The sequence below is a fragment of the Homo sapiens genome, chromosome 12 (assembly GCF_000001405.40).
Source record: "Homo sapiens chromosome 12, GRCh38.p14 Primary Assembly".
NCBI lineage: Eukaryota > Metazoa > Chordata > Mammalia > Primates > Hominidae > Homo > Homo sapiens.
The window spans coordinates 129,106,669-129,131,626 of record NC_000012.12 but is presented as its reverse complement, the minus strand read 5'-3'; the positions used below and the strand labels follow the sequence as shown (position 1 = coordinate 129,131,626).

Below are 24,958 nucleotides of genomic sequence, written 5' to 3'. Positions count from 1 at the left end.
CTTTCTTTCTTTCTTTTTTTAGACAGAGTCTCACTCTGTCACCCAAGCTGGAGTGCAGTGGCCACGATCTTGGCTCACTGCAACCTCCACCTCCTGCGTTCAAGCGATTCTCCTGCCTCAGCCTCCTATGTAGCTGGGATTACAGGCATGCACCACCATGCTCAGCTAACTTTTGTAATTGTTATACAGATGGGGTTTCCCCATGTTGGCCAGGCTGGTCTCAAACGCCTGGCCTCAAGCAATCCGCCCACCTTGGCCTCCCAAAGTGCTGGGATTACAAGCGTGAGCTACTATACCTGGCCGGATAATTTCTTGTATGTGGTTGTTTGTTTTCTCCAACAACAGTCATCTTTGGACCCCAAAATCAGGAAAATGCACTGGAGTCCAAAATGCTCCCTTAAGTGCCCTGTTTCTGTGTGTGTGTGCATACATACTTATGCATACATACATGTAATGCATATGACTGTGCATATCTAATTACATGTGAAAACATACTTGGTTTTCAGGATTTTCATTAGTACCCTTTTTGATCTGCATGCCATGATCTTGCCAGTAGGTCTCCCAAATGAGTGTTTGGGTCGCTGATGTTAGCCTGGGGGCACAGAAAAACACCTTGGTAACTTACAGTGCTGATGCCTCGGTCCCACCACTGCCCGGTTGAATCAGAACCTCTGGGAATGGGACCTGAGAACTGGCATTTTTAAAGCTCCCCAGACAATCCCAATGGGTGAGAACCACACTTGGTGGGCTAAGCTACTACATAATCTTATTTTTGGTCAGCATCGAAGCATGCATTGGTATAATCCATAGGTATGTTTTCCAGCTAATTTCTGTAATATGCACCGTTGTACTCCTGATCTAGACGTGCTAATTCTTCTCTAGGTCATGGCATTTCAAAGCCTCCCCTGACCACCCTGTCTCTCCTCTCACTGCCCCAAATCCACTTCTCCTTTCTCAATAGTGTGTCCCACTGCCTGACGCTATGCTCTGAACCTGTTGGTCTCTGGTTATTGTCTGTCTCCCTTCCCAGAATGTAAGTTCCATTGGAAAAAGACTTTTTGTTTTATCTGTTGTATCTCAAGTGTCAAGAACGTTCTAGAACGTGGCAGGTGGGTCCTCTCAGGCAGCAGACCGCGGACGGTGGTTAGCACTAGGGCATTCATTCCAGAGTGCGCTTGGGTTCCTCCACAGCAGAAGGGAGGGGCAGAGTCAGGATGGGATGCAGGGGGAAGTCGAGGCCATGCAGTCACCAGGAGCAAGGATTCCGCAAGTCCTGTGGCGGGCGGGGGGGTCTCTTCAGAGCCTCCCTGAGCTGGGATGAGGAGGCTGAACCTCTCTATCTCCACGGGCATCCCCAGAAGGAGATGGGACCTTGGGTGGGGTGGTTTTCTTCAGCTGAGGCCATCCCTAGCATGCTGCCTGCAGGGTGTCACCCTCCAGCAGAACTCCTGGAGGTTGAAGGAATCCATCCTCCCTTCCTAGAGAGGGGTTCCAGGGACACATCACAGTGAACACCCCAGTGGTCAATAAATACCTCAGCAAATGTCTTTCTAGTTTCCACTGCATAAATAAACACACACACACACACACACACACACACACACACACACAGAGCAGAGCTTTGATTTTTGAGCTTGCATGCAGGTACTTTATCGTGGAAAATAATCACAAAGAATAGGTTGGGCTAGGGAGAATAAATCAGGGAATGAGAGAAGCAAATATGAGGATGTGTTAATCAATAATGCTGTAGGGAACAGGGACCTGATCCTGCTGAGGACCTGAGGAGGCATAAAAAGCTCACTTTAGAGTTGCATTCATGAACAGGCACTTCTCAGCAGAAGACATACGAGCGGCCAACAAGAACATGAAAAGATGCCCCACATAGCTCATCATCAGAGAAATGCAAGTCAAAGCCACAATGAGATTTCATCTCTCACCAGTCAGAATATGGCTAGTATTAAAAAGTCAAGAAACAACAGAGCTGGCGAGGCTGTGCAAAAAGGGAACTCTTATACACTGTTGGTAGGAATGTTAATTAGTTCAGCCACTGTGGAAAACAGTATGGAGATTTCTCAAAGAACTTAACCCAGAACTACCATTCAACCCAACAATCCCATCACTGGGCATATATCTGAAGGAAAACAAATCATTCCACCAACATGACATATGCACTCTCATGTTTATTGCAGCACTATTCACAACAGCAGACATGGGATCAACCAACGTGCCCATCAACAGTGGATTGGATAAAGAAAACATGGTACATATACCATGGAATACTATGCAGCTATAAAAAAGAATGAAATCATCATGTCCTTTGCAGCAATGTGGATGCAGCTGGAAGCCATTATCCTAAGTGAACTATCAGTGAATCAGAAAGCCAAATATTTCATGTTCTCACTTATAAGGGGGAGCTAAACATTGGGTACTCATGGAATTAAAGATGTCAACAATAGACACAGGGGACTACTAGGGAGGAGAAGGAGGAAGGGAGGCAAAGGTTGAAAAACTAACTTTTGGGTACCATGCTCAGTACTTGAGTGATGGGATCATTTGTATCCCAAACCTCAGCATCATGCAATATACCCAAGTAGAAACCCCGTACATGTATCCCCTGCATCTGAAAGTAAAGTAGAAAAAAGAAAAGAAAATGTGGTGCGTATATGCCAGAGAATACTATGCAGCCATGAAAAACGATGAAATCATGTCCTTTGCAGCAACATGGATGCAGCTGGAAGCCATCATCCTAAGTGAACTAGGAAGCAGAAAATAAAATACTGCATGATCTCATGTATAAGTTGGAGCTAAACAATGGGCACACATGAACATAAAAATGGAGCTAATAAACACTGGAGACTCCCAAGGGTGGGGGCAGGATGGGAGGGGGTGAGGGTTGAAAAGTTACCTATTGGGTACAGCGTTCACCGTTTGAGTCATGGGTACACTAGAAGCCCTACCACATGCAATATACCCATGTAACAAACAAGCACATGTATCCCGTTGGTATGGTTTGCCTCTGTGTCCCCACCTAAATCTCATCTTGAATTGTAAGCCCCACATGTCAAGGGAGGGACCTGGTGGGAGGTAATTGGATCATGGGGGTGGTTTTCCCCAAGCTGTTTTCATGTTAATGAGTGAGTTCTCATGAGATCTTGTGGTTTAAAAGTGGGGCCCTTCCCCAGTCACTCTCTCGCTCCTGCCACCGTGTAAGATGCCACCTTGCTTCCTCTTCACCTTCCACCAGGATTGTAAGTTTCCTGAGGCCTCCCCAGCCATGTGGAACTGTGAGTCAATTAAACCTCTTTTCTTTATAAATTACCCAGTCTCAGGTTGTTCTTTATAGCAATGTAGAAATGGACTAATACAGCCCTGAATCTAAAATAAAAATATTTGGGAAAAAAGGAAAAGAATTGTCTGCCCAAGCCACGAAAATGGGCAGTGACCATTCACTAGCTCTTGTCTCCCCTACTCCAGGGTTGCCTAGAGTTGTGAACTCTCTACCTTCCAAGTTTGTACATGCAGCCCTCTAGCTGAGCAAGAGGGAGACCAACTGTCCCGGTTTGTCCAGAACTGACATGATTTTACCACTGAAAGCCTCACATCCCGGGAAACTCTTCATGCCTGGGTAACGTAGGACAGTTGGTCACGGTCTAGGCAGCTTCCCCCAGGCACCCATGTGACAGCTGCACAGAAGCCTCAGGGCGTAGCAAGAAATACTTGAGGCCGCAGAGGTGAGTGCCGGCCTCGTCTGCAGGCCGCTGGCCCTGGCAGTAACCAGTGCAGTTAGAAGGTGAATCCGGGAGTGTGAGACGGGAGACAAGAGGCATCGGGTGCAAAGTGTCAACCACTGTCCTCTGCTCCTCGGTCAGACAGGCATCTCACATTTGGAAACTTAGGTGCTGCAATCTAGGCAAATACTCGTCATGGTTTTGTTGAATGTGCTCCTTCTTTCTCGGTGTAGAAGTAGTGTTTATGTGGCCTACTCCATTCAACCTGTCCAAAAACCTGGGTGACAAATGGAGACGTGTTTTTTAAAGGCCCCTGTATTTAGCGAATGCCCAGAGAGTGGGCTGTTCACATTGACTTTTAAATGGCAGATTTTCTTGTGCATTGGGCTTGTTTGCTTTCGTTCATATATGAACAAAGAACAAAATTTGGCTCTTGGGAAACCTTCTGGACCTGCCGGAAGCGAGGGGCGGTTGCCAAGCCTACTCACATCTGACTGTTAATTGAGTCCCAGCCACTATAATGAAATTAGCCTCAGCTGCTCTGGAGTTGTGTGGATTTGGGGCCAAAGAGGCATTTGTCACAAAGAGGTATCAAATGTTTGTTTGCGCAATGTTCCACAATGTGCGTTAGTCTTTCTCTAAAAGATCACAACGTGAGGAGGAAGAGTGTCCTTTGGCTATGAGTGATTGAAAAAAACAAAAACTCAATCAAGAAAATGTGTGCTTTGGCACATGTAGTGTCAGTGTGATAGGACAGCCTTGAAGCCAGTGTGTTCAATCCGTTGATGAATCCCGCTCTCTCGCTCTCAGACTGCATGAGTGGTGGGCAGGTCTGTCATTCCTTGGCACAAAATGTTTTCCCTCTAAAGGTTTCTCTGAAGCAAACAAGGTAGTTCAGACTGCGTCCTTGTCTCTCAGCTGATTGTCCCCAACTGCAGGGCATCACATGCCCAACATCACTGAAGACGTGCTGCTCTTTACCCCTCTGGGCATCTCAGCGTGCCAGTGTCAGAGCTGTTAGCAATGATGACATGTCCCTTCATGGAGAACTGGGCCCTTGTTTGTAATTGCCTGATGCTAATAACAAGGAGGAAAGTTCCTAGTTAACTGATCAATTCTATGCTAGCAATATACAAGAAAGCCATCGCATTACTACCCCATTTTATCTGACTCCTGGAAAATGTATTAAAGCAGAACCCTGCATTAATTTAAGGAATGCTAATTCCATACGTAACATAAGCCCCTGCCAAACGCGTATGTATGTTACTGTTTATTCCCATACCATTCACCCCCCACCCTGATGGCACAGGCATATTTTTGCTCTTCAATTAGCCAGATCCCTCCAATGCAGATGGGATGTTCACAGCCATGAGTGGGTTAGTGTATATGAGATGTTATCTGAGCTAATTAAACTAAGATAGAAGACACCCACTGTAACACTGCTCTCGATGTTTCTCTCCCTTATATGTACTTCATGCTGGGAGAAAGGTTGAAGGGGCCAAAAAATGCAAACAGGATTATTGCTAAAAAAAAAAAAAAAGAGAGAGAAACTGAGGCAAGAGAATGAAAGTGATAGCTGCAAGGTGACAGAGCCACCAAAACATTTTTAATTGGCTGTGTAATGCTTCTGAGACAGAAGCCACAGATAAGATATGAATATGGATCCATAGATATAAATATAGAGGGATTTATAGATATTAACATAAGTGGATTTAAGTTCCCTGTACATTTTCCCTTGGCTAATTTTAAAGACATGTACCTTAAGCGACACATTGAACAAAAGGAAAGTGTGTTGGGAAAACTTACAGGCAGAGAAGCATCTGAGCACATGCAATCCCCAAGTGCCCCTTATCTCAAAAAGAGGGGTGCTCAGGTTGGGCATAGCTGGCCCCCCGGGAATGTTCTCCAGCCTGACCATGTGCTATATAAACTTGCAGGAAAATTAGGAAAAGAAAGGAACACCCTGTTTACTCTGTTTCAAGAGGAAATCTCTGACCAAGAAAGTGGCCACATCACAGTGCTCTTCAATGTATGCTCTGTGTATGAGCCCAGGTTTGCAGGCTCCGCATGACTGGTGCTCAATGCAGCAGGTACAGAGTCAAGAGTGAGTATTTAGAAATGTTCACAGTGCGCTTTGGGAGGCCAAGGCGAGCGGATCGCTTGAGTCCAGATGTTCAAGGCCAGCCTAGGCAACATAGCAAAACCCCGTTTATACCAAAAAAAAAAGAAAAAAGAAAAGAAAAATTGACCAAACATGTTTGTACACACCTGTAGTCCCAGCTACACAGGAAGCTTGAGCCCAGCAGGTTGAGGCTGCAGTGAGCTGTGATTGTGTCACTGCACTCTAGCCTGGGTGACAGAGCGAGACCCTGTCTCAAAAAAAAAAAAAAAAAAAAAACTCATAGTAATTCGACATCGTCACATCACCTAAACATATTTTTATTGTATTGTACAAAAGTGTTAGTCTACACAGGGTTGGAAATTTTTTCTTAATCACAGGACGATTAAGAAGATTCAAGCTAGGGGAATTGTGTCTTACATCAAAATAGCTTAGAACTGCTGAACCAATTCTGGTGAAATTCTGAAAGGGTGGAGGGAATCCAGAATGTCTCCTCAACTTCTCCTTTCTGATCACACACAATTTCTATTAGGAGATAGCATCTCAGAAGTGTGTTTAATAGATGGTCTCAATGTTTCAAATATTAAAGTACATAATTCCTCTGGAAATGAACACACTTCCAGGAACATGTCACATTATTTCTGAGTGTATTTGCATCATCACCTCCGCAGACTTGCAGAAGAGCATGAAACATCAATAATAAAAGCCAGACATCCCCCCTCCAGCCTTGCCAGAATGGGCTTTATCCCTAAGGTAAATATGCCATCTCTTCAGGTCTTCCTCTTAGGATTAGTTACAGAGGCAGTCGCTTAATTGTAATGAGGTGGGGAAATGTAATTACATTAATAGCTTGCACCAGAATTCCTCTTAGAGTGGAAACTGAGTTTGTTGGCTCAGAGGGAGGGGGAGCTCTTGAAAGTTCTGGGGATGATGCATAGGTCTTCCCAAAGACCAAGCAGTTTCCAAAAAATGAGGGCATATACTCACCAAAAGTTATGTACAAGGATGTTCACCGCAAATTCATTCATAATAGCCCAGAGCTGGAAATGACTCAAATTCTCCATCAATAGGTGAACAAACACATTCTGTGCCCATTCAATGAAATACTACCCAGCAACACAGAAGAGTGAACTACACTGAAGGCAAGAGCCTGGATACATCTCACAGGCCAGAAGTTGAGCAATGAAGCCAGAAACAAAAGCTAATAGGTGGCACAGTTTCTTCTATGTGAAGTTCTAGGATGAGCAAAACTGACCTATGGTGAGAGGAACCAAAATAATGGTTAACTTGGATGGGGGAAGGATGGAAGTAAGCAACTAGAGAGATTTTAGGAGAGCTCAAATGTTCCATGTTTTGATCTCATAGACGATACTGGGCTGCACAGATATAAAGATTCACTGAGTTGCACAATTAACATTTATGCACATAAATGTATTAAGGTACAGCTTCCTATTTTGGGAAATAGAAGTACCTCTACGTTCAAGGTGAGTCTTGGGGGTCCTGGATGTGGGTGAGATTAGTCTTCATTAGATGAAGAGAGCTCTGGGCTTGTCATTTTGAGGGAGGAGGCAGAAGTGGAGAAAGAGAGGTTGTGAGGCCACATGGGAGCCACGGAGCCCTCCCTGTAACCCTGTAAATCTGCAGAAAGTTTAACAATTTGTGGAAAACTCACCATGAGGCTACCTGTATTAGTTGGGGTTCTCCAGAGAAGCAGAACCAGTCGGCTGCACATAGATAGACAGATGGGGAGATTTATTATAGGAATTGGCTCACACAGTTATGGAGGCTGAGAAGTCCCATGATCCTCCTTCTGCAGCTGGAGACCTGGAAAGCCGGTGGTGGAGTTCCAGTCCAAACCCAAAGGCCCAAGAACAGGGAAGCTGAAGGTGTAACTCGCATTCTGAATCCAAAGGCCTGAGAATCAGGAGGGGCACTGTTCAAGGGGAGACAGTGATGGATTTCCCAGTAAAAGGAGAGAGAGAGAGAGAAGCTTTTCCTCCATCTTTGTGTTCTATCCAGTCTCCCAACAGACTGGATGAGGCCCATCCGCACTGGGGAGGATGAATCTGGTTTACTCAGTCCACTGCTTCAAATTAATTTGTGCCAGAAACACCCTCACAGACACACCCAGAAATAATGTTTTACCAGGAATCTGGCATCCCTTAACCCAGTCAAGTTGACACATAAAGTCAACCATCACAGTATCCTTTGCGAAAATCACTGAAGGATCATTTCCTGAGTTGGCTTGGGATGGACCCTGGAGACCCCACATAGACAGAACAGAGAGGAGGAGAGTAGCATCCCCAGAAACTGCAGGATGTGGTGGAGGCAGACCCAGGTTCTTTGGGAGTTGAAGCTTCTACAGTTGACCTGGGGGCACGTGTCTAAGAAAATAAACACAAAATTATGTACACGGAATTACCGAATATTTAGGTTGAAAAAAAAATCAACAACTAATTACAAACTGTCAAAAGCTGGAAAATTCTATAAGCATCATAAAATATATAAAATATAACACAATGTCTTTATTAAGTAACAGCTTGAACCACCTATGTAATACCTTTTTCTAAATTGGCTTTGAACAGTCATGGCCATGATTTTATAACTGCTTTATTCATGAAATAACTGAAAGATAGCTCATTTTTTATGTTAGCATAGTCAACAAAAATTTATTTTTTATTATTGATAGTTTAGAAAAGTTCCTTTCTGCTTTATAACTCCATATTTTTAATGTTACATATATTTTATGATTATCCTCAGATTTGAGAAAAATCTACCAAGTATCTTTCTTATATGTAAGCTGTAAGATTTCAGGGTCTTTCAAGTTTTTTATGCAAGGCGACCAATCTTAAATACTCCGTACTTTCCTGGAAATCATTCACCATAACCAGTTTGTCATCAATGTTTCTTTGGTGTGATGTGTTATGAGTTTTATGTTAACTTCAGTATTTCATGTCAAATAAGTAAGGCATTTAAACTCAGAAATTCTGATAAAACCTATTTTGCATAATTCTCACTACAAAAGAAAATGTAGGGTACATTTATTATTTCATATACTCCATTATCAAGTAAATTTTGATGAGAAGGAATTCATGTCTTACGAAGCACAGAGGAGAATAGAATCTTCCACTTCCAATTTCACAGGGAGCATGATTGGAACAATTTTCTGGAATCGAGCTTCTGATGCCTCAGTTTTTACCCTCTTGGGGTTTGACTTGATCATTCAATAGATATCTATTGATCCTCTATTGAATGCCATATACCAAGTCCTGGAGATACAGAGATAAATCAGGCGAGTCCCTCCTTTTGAGGAGCTCATGGTGTCTAGCAGCAAATTCACAGGTGCCAAAACTGATGGTAGTACCAGGTTGTAAGCGTTGAATGTTACTCTGAAGACATTTCCAGTGTGTCCTCTTTACCCAGCTAGAGCAGAAAAACTCTGTTAAGCCACTTTACTTTCCTTCTATGTCACCCACTTTGCTTTCCCCCACAGCATCTGGTATGTCTGGTGTGCACAATATGCCCAGAGATGAGCAGTACACATTCAGCTCTGGAAGGAAGGAAGGTGAGCTCTGCAAGGGCAGTAGGCCGTGTGGCCCACATGCTAAATTTACAGTGAGGACACAATTAAACTAAAGCCATCTAAACTTAGGGACAGCCACATGGAGTCACACTGGCGGGTCACCCAGCATCGCTCTGCAGCAGTGGTGGAAGCCATGGAGATGAGTGACTGCATTCTAGGGCTGCCTCGGAAGAACAGGGCCAGAATCGGCGGGCTTCCATGAGCCTGCCATCCATCTCGTCTCCCTCAACCTGCCCATTTTCATCCACCCACTTCCTAAAGCCAAAAGCCAAAGGCTCACTCTGGAGCCCTCCCTTTCTCTCACCCTCAATATCCAGTCTAGCTGCAGTTTTTGTTGACTCCACCTCTAAAAATATCAAACTATTTTATCTCTACACCTCGTCCAATGTCCAAACCACCAACATAAATGTGTCCTGGATGCTTACCATGGCTTTTGATCATCTTTATCCCTCCACATATTTTCTGTGTCTGTGTGCTGTGGTGGCCGGGGTGTAGTGTAGTACTGTATTGGTTTCCTTTGACTGCATTTTCCTTCTCTGGGTCTTGGAGAGAATGTGCTTCCTCACCGCTTTGAATTTCAAGAGTCCCTCTGCATTCCTGGGCTCGGGGGCCCCATTCTCCATCTTCAAATCCAGCAACAGTGGGTTGAGTCCTTCTCAAAATTATTCACTCCTACTCTGCATCCATCTTCGTATCTTCTTTCCCAAATGACTCTTTTGCCCCTTTCTAACTTTAAGGACCCTGGGTTCCACCTGGATAATTTAGGCTAATCTCCCTATTTTAAAATCAGCTGACTAGTGGGCCAGGTGCAGTGGCTCATGCCTGTAATCCCAGCACTTTGGGAGGCTAAATGGGGGTGGGTCACCTGAGGTCAGGAGTTTGAGACCAGCCTGGCCAACATGTTAAAACCCTGTCTCTACTAAAAATACAAAAATTAGCCAGGCATGGTGGTGCACACCTGTAATCCCAGCTACTTGGGAGGCTGAGGCAGGAGAATCGCTTGAACTCAGGAGGTGGAGGTTGCAGTGAGCCGAGATTGTGCCATTGCACTCCAGCCTGGGCCACAGACCAAGACTCTGCCTCAAAAAAAACAAATAAATAAAATAAAATAATAAAATAAAATCAGCTGATTAGTAAACTTTAATTCCCTCAGCAGCCTTACTTCTCCTTGGCCATGTAACCTACCTAGCATATTAACAGGTTCCAAGGATGAGGATGTGAGCATCTTTGGGGAGCCGTTATTCTGCCTACCACAGAAGCCTTATTGTTTTTTATCAGCATTTTTATTTTACTCTTTAGCATTTTACCGGGAAACAATTCTAAACTAATAGAAAGTTGTAAAACAAATACCGAAACAAAAAAAAATGAACTGCACTGTGTGTAAATTAAAAAATAATTTGAAAAAACTGTACAGACCGTTTATGTGTACCTTTCACCTCAATCTTCCTAATGTTGACAATTTATGTAACAATCATGCAATTGTTAAAGCCAGGAGAATTATATGAATATTGTACTTATCTATCTATACTATTAACTAAACCACAGGCTGGTTTTTCACTTAATATCCTTTTTTGTTTGAGGATCCAATCCAGGACCCCACAATGCATTTAGTAGTTGTGTCTTCTAAGTCTCCAATTTAGGACAGCCCCTCAACTTTTTCTAATTTTTCATAACCTTCGTGCTTTTGAAGAGTATGGCCAGGTAGATTTTGGAATGCCTCGCAGTTTGGGTCTATCTTGTGCTTTCTCATGATTAGACTGGACTTACACTTTCCCAGTAAGAACATCCCTGTGTGATGTTGAGATGTGGCACCAATATGACTAATTATTGGTGAGATTAGCTTGGATCACTTGATGATGGTATTAATCTGACACCATGCAAGCATCCTGTTCCTTCTCAGACTTTGACCCTCTAATGTTAGCATCTGCTGATGTCTTTCGCTCTTGCCCCCATAGACTGTACCTCACCATGTAGGTGTAGTGGCTTCTTAAAAATGTAAATCAAGCCATTTCACTCTCATGCACAAAACACCCTAATGGTCTTATGCAGTGCTTCTAATAATATACAACCTCCTCACCATAATGGTCCAGGATTCATGTGATCAAGCCCCTCCAACTTCCTCTCTCTTTCACTTTGGCTCCAGCCATAGTGTCTTTTTTTTATTATTTCTCTGCTCTTGCCCTTTATTTTTCCTCTTCCTACATACCCTTAGCCTAGGTTTTTCACAGTTGACACGTGACTTAAGATTCAGGTCTCAGTGAAAATATCACCTCTCTCCACTGTCTCCTTCCCCTCCTGCCAGCACCCCCTGCCTCATACCTTTGCAGTTTGTTGCCCTATTTTATTTTTCTTAGAGCCCACCACTAGTTGAATTTACATCTGTTTCCCTGACTAAGCTTTCTTCAGCTTCTTGAAATCAGAAACTTCATCCCTACCATTCATGGCTGTATCTCCAGAACCAAGGACAGCGCCTGACTCCCCTGAGGTGCTCATCAGACATTTGTTGGATGAAGAAACTACACTAACCCTGTGTAGTCTTGTTTGTAGCTCTAGTTAGTGCTGAATTTGGATTAATATTATTGATGCAAATTACCTTTTTCAGGCTTTCAGGTTGCTCCTAATTTTAGCACCTTCAGGTTTGGCAACTAAGTCTCTTTGTATAAAGCCTGGTCAAGAAACACCATTTCCTTAGTTAGGATAATGGCCTCTAGTTCCATCCGTGTTGCTGAAAAAGATACGATTTCATTCTTTTTTATGGTGGAGTAGTATTCTGTGGTCCATACGCACTAGATTTCTAATCCCGTTATTCACTGGTGGACACCCAGGTTGATTCTGTAACTTTGCTATTATGAATAGTGCCGTGGCTAACGTCTGAGTGTGGGTGTGTTTTTGATATGTACTCTATTTGGGTGATATGTGCACTAATAGCACCGACTTAGCACTACACAGTATATCTACGTGTACTCCTAAATCCAACTGCATGCATTCCCCTAAATCTATAAAAAGATTTTAAAAAGTCAAAACCATTTCCAAGTTTTGACTTTATAAGCTGAAGTTCTTTCTGTCATTTCTGTGGTCTCAGCAGCATTCTCTTAGTCATGGTATCCACCTCCTCTCATGAAACAGCCAATGGAAAATGCTTAAAAGGCAAGGGCAGCGTAGATGTCATTGCCCCTCTCTTGAGAAGGCTGTTCCGGGGGCAGGTAAGCCTTTCTAAGTGCACTCCATTTGTCAGAGCATCAAATCTGCCCTGTAGAAGGCCCTCTGTTGGAGAAAGAACACATGAGCTGCATGTGAGTAGCTGAGCAGCCGAAATAGATACGCTGTGCTTTCCTTGAAGTTCTTCCCTCCAGGGCCTGAGAGATGCCCTCTGATATGAGCTACAGCACCCTGCCACATCCAACACTCTTACAGCAAAGGCAACACACTCTGTTAGACTTGGACTCTTGCCTGGAATGGCCAGGACATTCAATGAATTCAATTCATTTCATGGCCATTAATCTAAGGGCATTTCACTAAAGATCTTTTTTTGATATCAAAACAGCAGTGCCAGGTACGTTTTGCTTTGATGTTAATTGGAAGTAGCATTGTTTCATTCAGTGCCCTCTAAAAGTCCCACGGGTTGATCACTAAATGTAGGCATTGTAGAAAATGTGCCATTTTAATGGAAACTGGAGCTGTCTTGGTGCCATCCCTGGAGTCTAGCACAGCAGAAGGCACACACAGTGAAAGATGGACACACTGTCCTGGCTCCAAGGGAGTGCTGGGGCTGACGAGGGATGCATCCTGGTCACCAGGTGCTGCCTGAGACCATGTACCGCAGAGCTGGGCAGAGGCTGCCCTGTGGCAGCTTCCTACCCCAGCTGTGAGGGATGTTTCATAATAACTCAAAGCACCACCTTTTCCATCTCCATCTCTTATGTCTAAAGAAAAATTGGTATCCATTTTCCATTTATCTAACTATCATTGTCAAAAGTATGGTTTTGAAGGTTCGACTTCAGAATGTTAGAATCCTGAAACTTATTGAGAAGAATTTTGCAATATTTCTGAGCTGTATTTTTAGGGGAAAAGCACAGAACATACCAAGGTGGCCATTATGTTTTAAAAGAAGAGGAAAATACATGGTTAAGTGCTGGTATATGCATAGACTCTCTCTGGGCAGATGCACAAAATACCAGTAGCAACAGTGACTTTCAGGGTGGGAGCTGGGGAGCTCTAGCCAGGAAAGGAGGGGCTGACGTGTCACCACACATGCTTCCTGCTGTTCAACTTCATTTTAGCCATGAGTTGATACCAACTCCCCATTTTTATGACAAATAGTAATTAACAATGGAAAACAAAGTCTCCAGTGAGGTATTCAGACTTTAAAAGCAAATATGAAACATTCGTAAAATATGACAAAGCTTTGTGAATTAAAGAAAAAAATCCTTAAAAGGAGACATGTAGTCTTTGTTATTAGTATACTTCCTTCCACTGCAATAGAGTCTGAGATCACACATCATCATTTCAGAGCCAAATGGTCTTTTTGAGTTAGAATACCCAGGGCAGGGTCATACGATGTCTAAAAGTGCAGCCCCAGGAGAAAGGCTGGGTCCCAGCTTTGACCTTGGGCCATTTCTTAAGGTCATGATAATAATGCTTTCCTTATTGGGCTGTCTTGAAAATTAAGTAAGCCGATATGTGGAAAACACTTAGATTAGTGTGTGGAAAATAGTAAATACTATATAAATGTCAGCTTTTGGGGCAGACCTGAACTGGTCCTTTTTTATTTACCAAAGCTCAAATTAGGGTTCACTTTGTGTTGTACAGTCTAGGGTCTTGATTGATACGTAATGACATGCATTTACCATTATAATATAATGCAGAATATTTTCACTGCCCTAGAAATCCCCTCTTCTCCATCTATTCATTCCTCCCCCCTCCTCCCCCTGAACCCCTAGCAACCAGCTATCAGTTTAATGTTTCTATAGTTTTACCTCTTCCAGAATGTCATACAGAATATATACAGAATCTAATATAGAATACAGAATATAGCCATTTCAGACTGGCTTCTTACACTTGGTAATATGTATTTAAGGTTCCTCTATGTCTTTTCTTGGTTTAACAATTCATTTCCTTTTATCAATTAATAATGTTCCATTATATAGCACACCACGGTTTATTTATCCATTCACCTACTAAAGGATATCTTGGTTGCTTCCAATTTTTGGCAATTATGAATGAAGCTGCTCTAAACATTCACGTACAGATTTTTTTTTTTTTTTTTTTTTTTTTTTTTGCGGAAATTTTCAGCTCATTTGGGTAAATGCCAAGGAGGACAGTTGCTTGGTTGAATGGCAAGATATGTTTAATTTCGTAAGAAACTACCAAACTGTCTTCCAAAGTGGCTGTACACTTTGCATTCCTACCAGCAGTGAATACGAGTTCCTGTTGCTCCATATCCTCAGCAGCATTTTGTGTTGTCAGTATTTTGGATTGTAGCTGTTCTACTAGGAATATAATCACATCTCATTGTTGTTTTAATTTGAAATTCCCTGGTGATATATACAACATTGAGCATCTTTCCATATGCTTATTTGCCATCTGTATATATTCTTTGGTAAGATGTCTGTTCAAATCTTTGCCTATTGTTTAATTGGGTTATCTTATTGTTGAGTTTTAAGAATTTTTGTATGTTTTCTATACTAGTTTTTTTTAATCAGATATGTGTTTGCAACTATTGTTTCCCAATCTGTGGCTTGTCTTTACATTTTCTTCCCAGGGTCTTTCTAAACGTTTGCTTTTATTACTATCATTCTCCACTGGGCATACAGATTTAGATTTGCAGTGTTAATGTGCCTTTCTCTCTAATAAATGACTAGGACTGGCCAGCTGTTGTCTTTCCCTGAGAAGAATAGTAGTGGATGTGACCACGTATCATTTCCCTCTATGTGCCATGCCATAAGGTCTCACCATGTTCCCTCAGGTCTTCCCACCTTAACCAGCCTCTCTTCCACTCACCTGCCAGTTGAGCACCTTGGACTCCCCAGGTGAAGCTTCTCAGCTCCATAGATGGAGACAAACCCTAGACTTCTCTGGGTAAGGTCTTCCTCTGGAGGAGGCCCTGGCTGGAGGCAGGAGTCTCACGGGGTGCCTGCAAAGAGGCAGTGGGGGAATTTCTCTGCAGATGGCCTGCGGAGGCATTTTTATCCTGAATTCAGCCAAACACAAAAGAGTGTGTCCCTTGGTTTCTGAATAATGCCTGTGTCCAGTACTGCTCCCTTTGTCCCCTTTGTGAGGGCCCCTCCATGTCCTCAAGAAGGCTGTATCCAGCCAAGGGGAGATGTGGCCACCACCACATGCCCCCTGAGAGCTCCCTGCGTTGACCTCTGCAGCCAGTCCAGCCAGAAAGTGGCAGACACTCATCCAGGTGAGATCCATGAGTCACCTCTGCCTGGAGTTTGTGACGTATGCTTTACAGGCCCTGGCTTCCACTGGCGTAGGAGCAGGGCTTACTTGTCGTGACTGCCCAGTGTGCCTGGGGGATCCCAGTGTCCACCTAGCCCTGACTCACAATCCCTGTCCTTTTTTATTCTGCATCTGAAAATATATCTTCATCATGGCAGGACACATACTTCCTGCTTCATATACTCCGAGTATCATTATTTAATAACACAGGAATATGCCCTGACGCCAGCCCTCTTTAGTAAGAGATTTATAGCCAATTCCACTGAGTCCCCGATGCCTGCACCTGAACAAGCAGTGCCTCTCTCATATCCACAGCCTTCTAGTTCCCCTAGACCCGACCTCCATCCCAAAGATTTCATCACATCCTGGGGTCTTGATAGAGACACTCTCCCATCCTTCCAAGTTCAGGGAACTAAGGAAGGTGAATTGCATCGTCCAGGAGGATAATCGTGTTGGCTGAGCTCAAAGATCCCAGCAGGAGCCAGATCATGCTTGTGGGTCCTGCTAAGAATTTGATGTCTTATCCTAAAGCAATGGAAAACAATTGGTGTGTTTTTAGACCATGTCTGGATAGCGACATGAGATGTCACTGGTAGTTATGTGATAAGTTCATGTTTTAAAAGAATGCTCTGGGCACTTTTGCAGAAATAAAGCAGCTTGAGTGAAAATAAAAGAGGATGTATACGAGCTCTGTGACCCTTTCCACGCCTAGGTATATACTCTACAGAAATACCTAAGTGTCTTCATCAAAAAATACGTACAGGATGGTTCATGGCAGCATTATCAGTCATAGCCAGAAGCTGGAAACACCCAGATGTCCAGAAATAGCAAAATGAACAAATAAATTGTGGTATATTCACGCAATGGAATGCTATCCAGCAACAAGAAGGAACAAAATACAACCACACACAACAATGCGACCAATCTCACAAACATTCCATTAAGTAAAAGGAACTAGGAAAACACGTACATCTGGTGTGATTCCATTTACTCCAAAGGTCAACAGCAGGGAAAACGAGGTGGCGACATTAGAAAGCAGGTTAGAGTTTACTTAGAGGATAAGAGCCAGAGTAGTGGCTGCAGGGGCATGCGAGGGGCTTCTGGCAGGATGACAGTGTTCTGGTTGTTGAAGTGGGTCTGCATGAAGTAAGTTTGTTTGCTTCATGAAATGTCATTGAGCTGCACGTTCATGATTTGTACACTTAGCTGTATGCGATAAAAAGTTAAATAAGGATAAATTAAAAGTTTTTTTACAGTAATAAAAGGAGGAAGGGAAGGAGAAGAGAAGAGATGAGAAAAGAAAAGGGAGGGAGGGAGGAAGGAGGGAAGGAGGGAAGGAGGGAAGGAGGGAAGGAAGGAAGGAGTTTCCAACTGTTTCTCAAACTTGACACCATGGAGGCTGGATAATTGTTTGTGGTGGGGGTGTCCTGTGCATTATAGAATGTTTAGCAGCATCACTGTCCTTACTAACCAGATGCTAATAACATCCCCCTCCCCACTGTAACAATGGAAATGTCCCCAGACATTGCCATATGTCCGCTGGGAACAGGGAACAAATAATTCCCATCCAAAGATCCCTGGCCAAGAGTGTATGCAATGCTGGGTGAAGCCCCAGGTATCAGGCAGGTGTACCTTCTATGCATGGACAACTGATGTTGGACTGTCTGTTGCTGAGGGATGTCTGTACCTGAGGCCAGAAAAGGACAGTTCCTTGGCCCTCACAGCAGGGAAAATGAATGGTCTCCAGGCACTTCCCAGAGCTTGCTTGGGTGGTGGTCAGAGGTCTCCTCCTGCTGAAGCCCTTACTGTCCATTCCATCCCCTACCCAGCTGGGAGAGTCTCAATCTCATCTACCTGCTGGAAACTCTTGCTGCAAGTGGGCCCCTGGTCTTCTGTCAAGATCAATGTCTTTGGAATGTCAGAGCCAAGAATGCCCCAGGCCATGTATTGCTCTCCTTCTACAGAGACCACCCAGCCCGGCCCTTTCCCACCGAGAAGGAGATGACTCTTATCTCTGCCCCTGATACTTACTTTGCTTTCTTCCTGTCTCCTTTCTGGTCTCAAAGGACACATTTTCAATGGGGTTTTCGCTGGCCGACGGGTCTACAGCTACAAACTCTCCACCCTAGAACACTTTAGCACCCTTCACTGCTTTATTTTTCTCCTTAGCACCTGTTGCTAATATGTCTTTTTAATGTATCTTATTACTGATTGTCATTTTTCCCCCAGTGTGTAAGCTCGATGAAGGCAGATATTTTTGTTTCCATTTTGTTTCCTCCTGTATCTCCAGAGCCCAGATGTAATCCTGGCTCATAGTTGGTTCTTGGGAGGTTTTTATTAAAAGAGTGAGTGAATCGCTAACTATTTGAAATGGGAGTGTTGTTGAACACCAGGGGTTCAGCCTAGGTCCATCTGCCCCCTGGACAGAAAGCCAATCACTGAGACATTGAGTATTGCCAGGGAAGAAGGCTTTATTGCTGGTGACATCACCTGAGAGACAGAAGGCAAATCTCAAATCCATCCCTCCAACTGACTGAAGTTAGCGGTTTATATGGGAATTGGTCAAAAAGCAGCAGGTGGCCAGATGAGGGTTCTGTTTTCTCGATGTCCAGATGCCATGATCTTGAAAGTTCAGTTCCATGATACTCTCTGGGAGAAAAGTTGGGCTGGTTTCAGAAAGAAGACCTTTAGAGTAGAAGTAAAAACATTTGGCTCAGAAGAAAAAAGAAAACTATGTCAATTAATACATCATTACAGCATCTGCCCTCAATAGCAATAGCACAAAGATTGCAAGACCTTGGGACTATGGGACACTTCACACAGTAGAATCAAAGTGGCTTCTCCCTTCACACTCACAGCAAGAAGAGGTTCAGGGCTTCCTTAGGTCACAAGGAAGAGAGGTTTTTCTTTTATTCTCTAAGCTAGCACTGTTCACCAAGACCTTCTGTGATGACAGGGATGTTCTGAACCTGTGCAGACCAATATGTCAGCCCCCAGCCACTGTGGCTTCTGAGCACTCCTAGTCTCCTAGTGTAGCTGGTGCAACAGAGGAAGTAAATCTTTAATCTTACTTAATTTTTTTCTTTGAGACGGAGTTTTGCTTTTGTTGGCCAGGCTGGAGTGCAACGGCATGATCTTGGCTCACCGCAACCTCTGCCTCCCAGGTTCAAGTGATTCTCCTGCCTCAGCCTCCTGAGTAGCTGGAATTACAGGCATGTGCCACCATACCCGGCTAATTTTTTATATTTTTAGTAGAGACGGGGTTTCTCCATGTTGGTCAGGATGGTCTCGAACTCCCGACCTCAGATGATCCGTCCGCCTTGGCCTCCCAAAGTGCTGGGATTACAGGCGTGAGCCACCGTGCCCGGCCACTTAATTTTAATTAATTTGAAATTATAGAGCCACATGTGACTAGCAGCTACTACCTTGGACAGCACGGGTGTAAACCCTGGTTCCTACATGGGCTCAAAGCCTGAGGATTCTGCCTGTCCTTCCCAACTTTTCATACATTCACCCCAGAATGCATCCAGGCAGGCCTCACTAATATACCCAATCTTTGTCACTGTTAGAATCCTCATTTGCAAGCAACAGAGAGCAACTCTGGCTGATTTACGCAGAAATTGAACTTATTCAATTTATTAAAAGGATATTGACTAGCATGAATCTCCAAGAGGGGTGGAAAACCAGGTAAAGAGGCTACGGAGCCAGGAATGATGTCAGAGATACAGCAGACTTTTCTAGCCCTGACACTGTCACGCCCCTCCACCAGCAGCAAAACACGGGCATCATGATGAAGAGTGCCAAGGGACCCCTGACTGCTGGTCAAGACCTCCGTGCCACCAGGGATGGTACCCTTACTGGATACACGCATTAAATATGTAATGCTGGACTGAAAATATGGCATGAGGTTGTGTTCGAAATGCACGTTTTGGACAGCATTCCTGTTAGCCTAGTAAAGATTACTGTCTAGCATTGCTAGATATTAAGCAAAGAACCCTCCAGCTCAAAGCAACCGGCAAAGCTAGGCTTTTGTTGAGAGACTGAGAGGGAGGAAGGTTTTCATAATCAGTTATCACCCACCTTGGGAGATGAAATCAAAACTGAGCCATTCAGAAATGATGGGTGGATTTCATCTTGGTAAGAAGCGCTTATTTCTACCTGTTCTTTATGGAGTGCCAGGATAATAGAGCAACTCCTTCTCTGGGCGCCGGATGCCCACCCATCAGACACTCACAGTGATCAGTGCAAATGAGAAGCAGTCCGTCAGAATGCACATTCTCTGGCCTGGCTGAGGAGTCTCACTTAGCAGCTGTTCCATTTTCTGGGGCTGCTGTAACGAATTCCCACAAACCTAGGTTACTTTCCACAGCAGACAGTTGTTCTCTCACAGTTTCAGAGGCCAGAAATCCAAATCAAGGTGTAGGCAGGGCCATACTCCTTCCAGAGGCTCTGGGAAAGGATCCTCCCTGCCTCCCCCCATCTCCTGGTGGCTGCAGGCATCCCCTGGCTTGCAGCCCCATCCCTCTTCCTCCCCTGTTCCCTGTAGGTTTTGTTGCTTCCCTATTTATCTTTCCGGAGGTTTTAAGTCAAATACAACTGCATAGTCTTACTTTCCTCTGCACTATGGCATTCTATGCACAGATTCCTGAAGGTCTCCCTCCGAGCACATAAACCCTTTCGCTACTGAGTCCAGGGGAGAGCCAGGGGTCCTGAAGGTGGCAGGGGGGCTGCATCTGGAGGCTGAGGGCAGCGACGACCTACAAAGCAATAGAGAAGAATCCCCATCAGCTGGGTTGGTTTTCACAGTGGGAGCTGGGCACACAGGCCCTCCTGTATTGCCTCTGACTTTTCCACTTTGGAATCTGCCTGGCAATCTCTCCATATGGGTAGGGAGAGCACCGGCTGGCTTCTTTTCATAGCTGTGTTGTAATCCAGAGCTCACTGAAGGTGCTTGTTCAGCCAGCGCCCGGTGACTCCGATGGAGGGTCATGGGCCTGTGGTGTGCGGCGCGGCCCTCAGGCTGATCTCTGCCAACAAGGAGAGGCAGAGCCAGGGGGCTGACCTATAGAGCACATCCTTGGTCCTTCCCCTGGCAGCTCCTCTGCCCCTCCTCTCCTTACTTATGCACCTCAGGGGGAGGGAGGTGCTTACTCGTGGATTGTGGGTGCTTCTGGGGCAGTGTGTTATGTTTTCGCTTGCTGGAATATAGTTTGCTTTCTAATTATTCATACAACGCATTTATATATCTCATGTTCATTGGTATATATGTTATATTTCACAAACAAAAACTCAGAAAATTTTTTAAAAGGCTTAAGCGTGACTCACTCAAGGTTAATAGGAATCAAAAGGCTTCATGGTCCAAAGGAATGAATCTCTAACAGGGAACTTTCTCAATGGTCGGGAGGGAGGGTAGACAGGTAGTGGAGCTGGCTGTTTTCCTCCCTCGCCCCTAACTCTCACATCACAGCACATGGGGAATCCTCAGAATCTATGAGCATCTTCAGGAAGCAGACAGAGTTAAGTGCACCAGAGATTAATTGAGGACTGCAGTTGTGAAGGATAAAGAAAAGATGGAGAAGGAGTAGGCAGGCTGAGCTTCAGGATGCGATGCAGGTCTGGTCCCTGGGAAAGGAGGATGGGAAGGAGGGAGAACCGGGCAGGAAGTGCCTGACTGCAGGAAGCACTGGGAATCCTTGGGCAGCCAAGCAGGAAATGCTGCCGCAGAGGTTGCCCATAGAGGAGCCTTGCATGGAGTCCCAGCAGCCACCCTGCACCTTGGCCATGCTCGGACACTGACCAGGTGGCTTCTGAAGGCCCCTGAGGACAGAAGGGACATTTCAACAGCATTCCTCCATGGCTGCCACCCAACGCTGCCGCATAGACCTCATCAGACTACACCCGCTGGTAGGGAGAGGGTGTATTAGTCCGTTTTCACGCTGCTGATAAAGACATACCCAAAACGGGGAACAAAAAGAGGTTTCATTGGACTTACAGGTCCCCATGGCTAGGGAGGCCTCAGAATCATGGCGGGAGGCGAAAGGCACTTCTCACGTGGTGGCAGCAAGAGAAAAATGAGGAGGAAGCAAAAGCAGAAACACCGGATAAACCCATCAGATCTCGTGAGATTTATTCACTATCACGAGACTAGCACAGGAAAGACCAGCCCCCGTGATTCCGTTACCTCCCACTGGGTCCCTCCCACAACATGCAGGAATCCTGGGAGATACAATTCAAGTTGAGATATGGTGTGGACACAGCCAAACCATATCAGAGGGTGACTGCATGAATTGGATGTTTGCTACATGCAGGCAAAAGTCTAAGGAGTTTATCTATATTAACTCATTTACTCTTCAGACCACCCAATGAAGTTGGTACCATGATCACCATCCCCATTTTGCAGAGGAGACAACCAAGGCACAGAGAGGTTAAGTGACTTGTCCAAGGTCACACAGCCAGAGAGTGAAGGAGCTGGAACAATGTTAACCCAGGACATCCAGATCCAGAGCCTAGCAATGCCTCACCTTTATCTAGAAGGAAAAACTCACACGGCCATTCGGGCCTGGGGTCTCTTCCTCCCGCAGAAGCTCTGAACACATCCTATTGGTGTCTTCTAACGCTATTGTGCTTTTTCCATCCCTATTTAAAAGGACTTAATTGTGTTCATGTTCGGTGATAGTAGTTTTCCATCTCTGGTAATAGTACAAAGTTGTGTTTTTTACATAAAACAAGAAATTGATTATTGAAGTCTAGTTAATAGCATGCAGTCTAGAGCATCGAGGGGTAAACAGATGTTTGCAACTTCCTTGGAAATGAATCAGAAAAGAAGATGAATAGAGAGCTGGGAAGTGGACAGATATGCGATAGAGCAAACACAGCAGAATGTCACTTACGGAAGCGAGGCATTGGGTATATGAGTAGGCACTGTACAATTTATCTTTCTCTTTGGTTAACATTTTTCATAATAAAGTCTTCAAACAATTAATCAAAATATTGAGAACTCAAGACGATGTGTGGGTATGGCAGTAATTCTGCATGTAGATTGAGCACTGCTGAAGTTTGGGAAATACCGCATGCATCTGAGTGTGTCTATATAAGAGCCAGGGAGTGCTTCCCCAGAATTGGCAGAGGAGATAGAAGAGTCTGAATGAACCAAGTGGCTCATTACATTCCCTGGCACCTGAGCCAGCCACAGCCTTTGGGGAGGATTCACCTGAGCCGAGTCATCTCCCTCCTGCTGAACATTACAGCCCAGCCACAAGCTAAACAGGACCAGGGACATCGTCTGCAAGTATGTCGTCTACTACCCAGGACTTTGAGATCTGAGTCATCTTCCCAAACCCAGGAATGCAACCAAGAAACCAGGTCAGAAAATAAAGCAGGCAGCCTCTCTCGGCCCCACCTGCCAAAATCAGGAGGAAAATAAAACTTTCAGGAAGTTTTCTAGGTGCCACACGGTGAACATGGAGAAGCCAGTGGCCACGATGTGATGGCTCACTGCCCTCTGTGGACTAAGATGGGTGGAAGGTCTGTGTGTGATGTAAGGACGTTCAGGGATAGAATATTCTATTTAGAGCCACAGATCTCAGTAGGGACATAACTGTCCCCACACCATGTAAGTGTCTGGCACATTTTCAGGAGTGATTATTTTTTGCAAGGATCAAGGCATATTCTTGCATTTCATGGTCAGAAGTCAGAAGTACTAAATGCCCTGCAATGTCCAGGACAGGCTCTTGTGACAAAGAATTGTCCTGTGTTCTGGACGGGTATAGTGGCTCACACCTGTAATGCTAGCACTTTGGGAGGCTGAGGCAGGAGGATCACTTGAGTCCATGAGTTCCAGACCAGCCTGGGCAACATGGTGAAACTCCATCTCTACAAATAAAAAAAAAAAAAAAATTAGCCAGGTGTGGTGGTGCACACCTGTAGTCCCAGCTACTCAGGAGGATGAGGTGGGGGTATTGCTTGAGCCCAGGAGGTCAAGGCTTCAGTGAACTATGATTGTGCCACTGCACTTCAGCCTGGGTGACAGAGTGAGACTGTCTCAAAAAAACTGCTCTGTGTCATTCACAACTTGTAAATTTCCCATCAAACTAGAGGGGAAAGCTGTAGTTATCTGCACTGTAGTTTAATATGCAGAACCATGAATTTTTCACAAATGTAAACTCAGGGTTAATCAGGGAATATTTTGTCTTTGTTATAACTTTATAGAGAGTTCTTCCCCACACTGGAAAATGTCTTCAGCAGCTACTAAGTGTCAACCTGCATTCAATCTGCATCATTTACAATGACTGTGAAGAGATGTTTTCTCACGTGGTCATGCTCAAACGGCATGTTGAAATATATATCATTAAATTACAAGTGCATTTTACTTGATTTGATATCCAGTTAGAGCATTATATTAATCTTAATAAAATTACCTTGTATGTACGTGACATTATCTGTGAATTCCATTTCAGTGTTCTAAAAGGGGAGCTTTAAAACATTCATTTAGCATTGGAGATATCATATCTGATAGGACTGAGAACCACTGGTTTCAGAAACTTTCTGTTTGTTTTTCTCTTGTTATGGTTTCAGAAATTTGGTGCCATTTCATCTTTCCTATTAGAGCTCTTGCACATGAATTCTCACTTTTATCCATTCATTCATCACCTCTTTCTTGTGTGCCTACTATATGCCAAGCACTGTTCTAGATGATACAGTAGATAAACAAAACGGCTAAGGTCTTGCCTGCCATCTCAATTAGTCAGGATCAGTTAGGGGATGCTGAGGTAACAAACAGCACCAGAATCTCAGCATCCTTCCACAACATGCCTCTATTGTTCAGGCAAAGACAGCAGTGGTGACTGTCCAAGGCAGGCATTCCCCATGCAGTGACGGCTCAGCATCCCAGATGGCCTTCATATTGAGGCACCTACATCATGGGCCTCCTGGGCAGGAGAAGGAGACAAGAAGAGTGTGCACTGGCTCTTAAGTGTTTCCAATCAGAGGTGACACCCATCGCTTCTACTCCCACGTCATTGGCCAGAGCACGCCACACGACCATACCACACTTAAGGAGGCAGAGCCTGCCCTCCTCCAATC

General features: G+C 44.5%; 1 protein-coding gene and 1 long non-coding RNA gene across 3 annotated transcripts in view; one reads left to right on the top strand and one right to left on the bottom strand.

The window, feature by feature from the left end:
* Positions 1–24,958, top strand: part of TMEM132D (transmembrane protein 132D) — an 832,300-nt gene that overhangs the window by 772,399 nt on the left and 34,943 nt on the right. The gene's annotated exons all lie outside the window — the stretch shown is intronic.
* Positions 18,329–21,937, bottom strand: TMEM132D-AS1 (TMEM132D antisense RNA 1). Of its 2 annotated transcripts, NR_104172.2 has the most exons (4): positions 21,870–21,937; positions 20,488–20,634; positions 20,112–20,207; positions 18,329–18,562 (listed from the first exon to the last, which is right to left on the bottom strand). It is a non-coding gene; the product is annotated as a TMEM132D antisense RNA 1 (long non-coding RNA). The 2 variants fall into 2 exon arrangements; NR_104173.2 differs by lacking the exon at positions 20,112–20,207.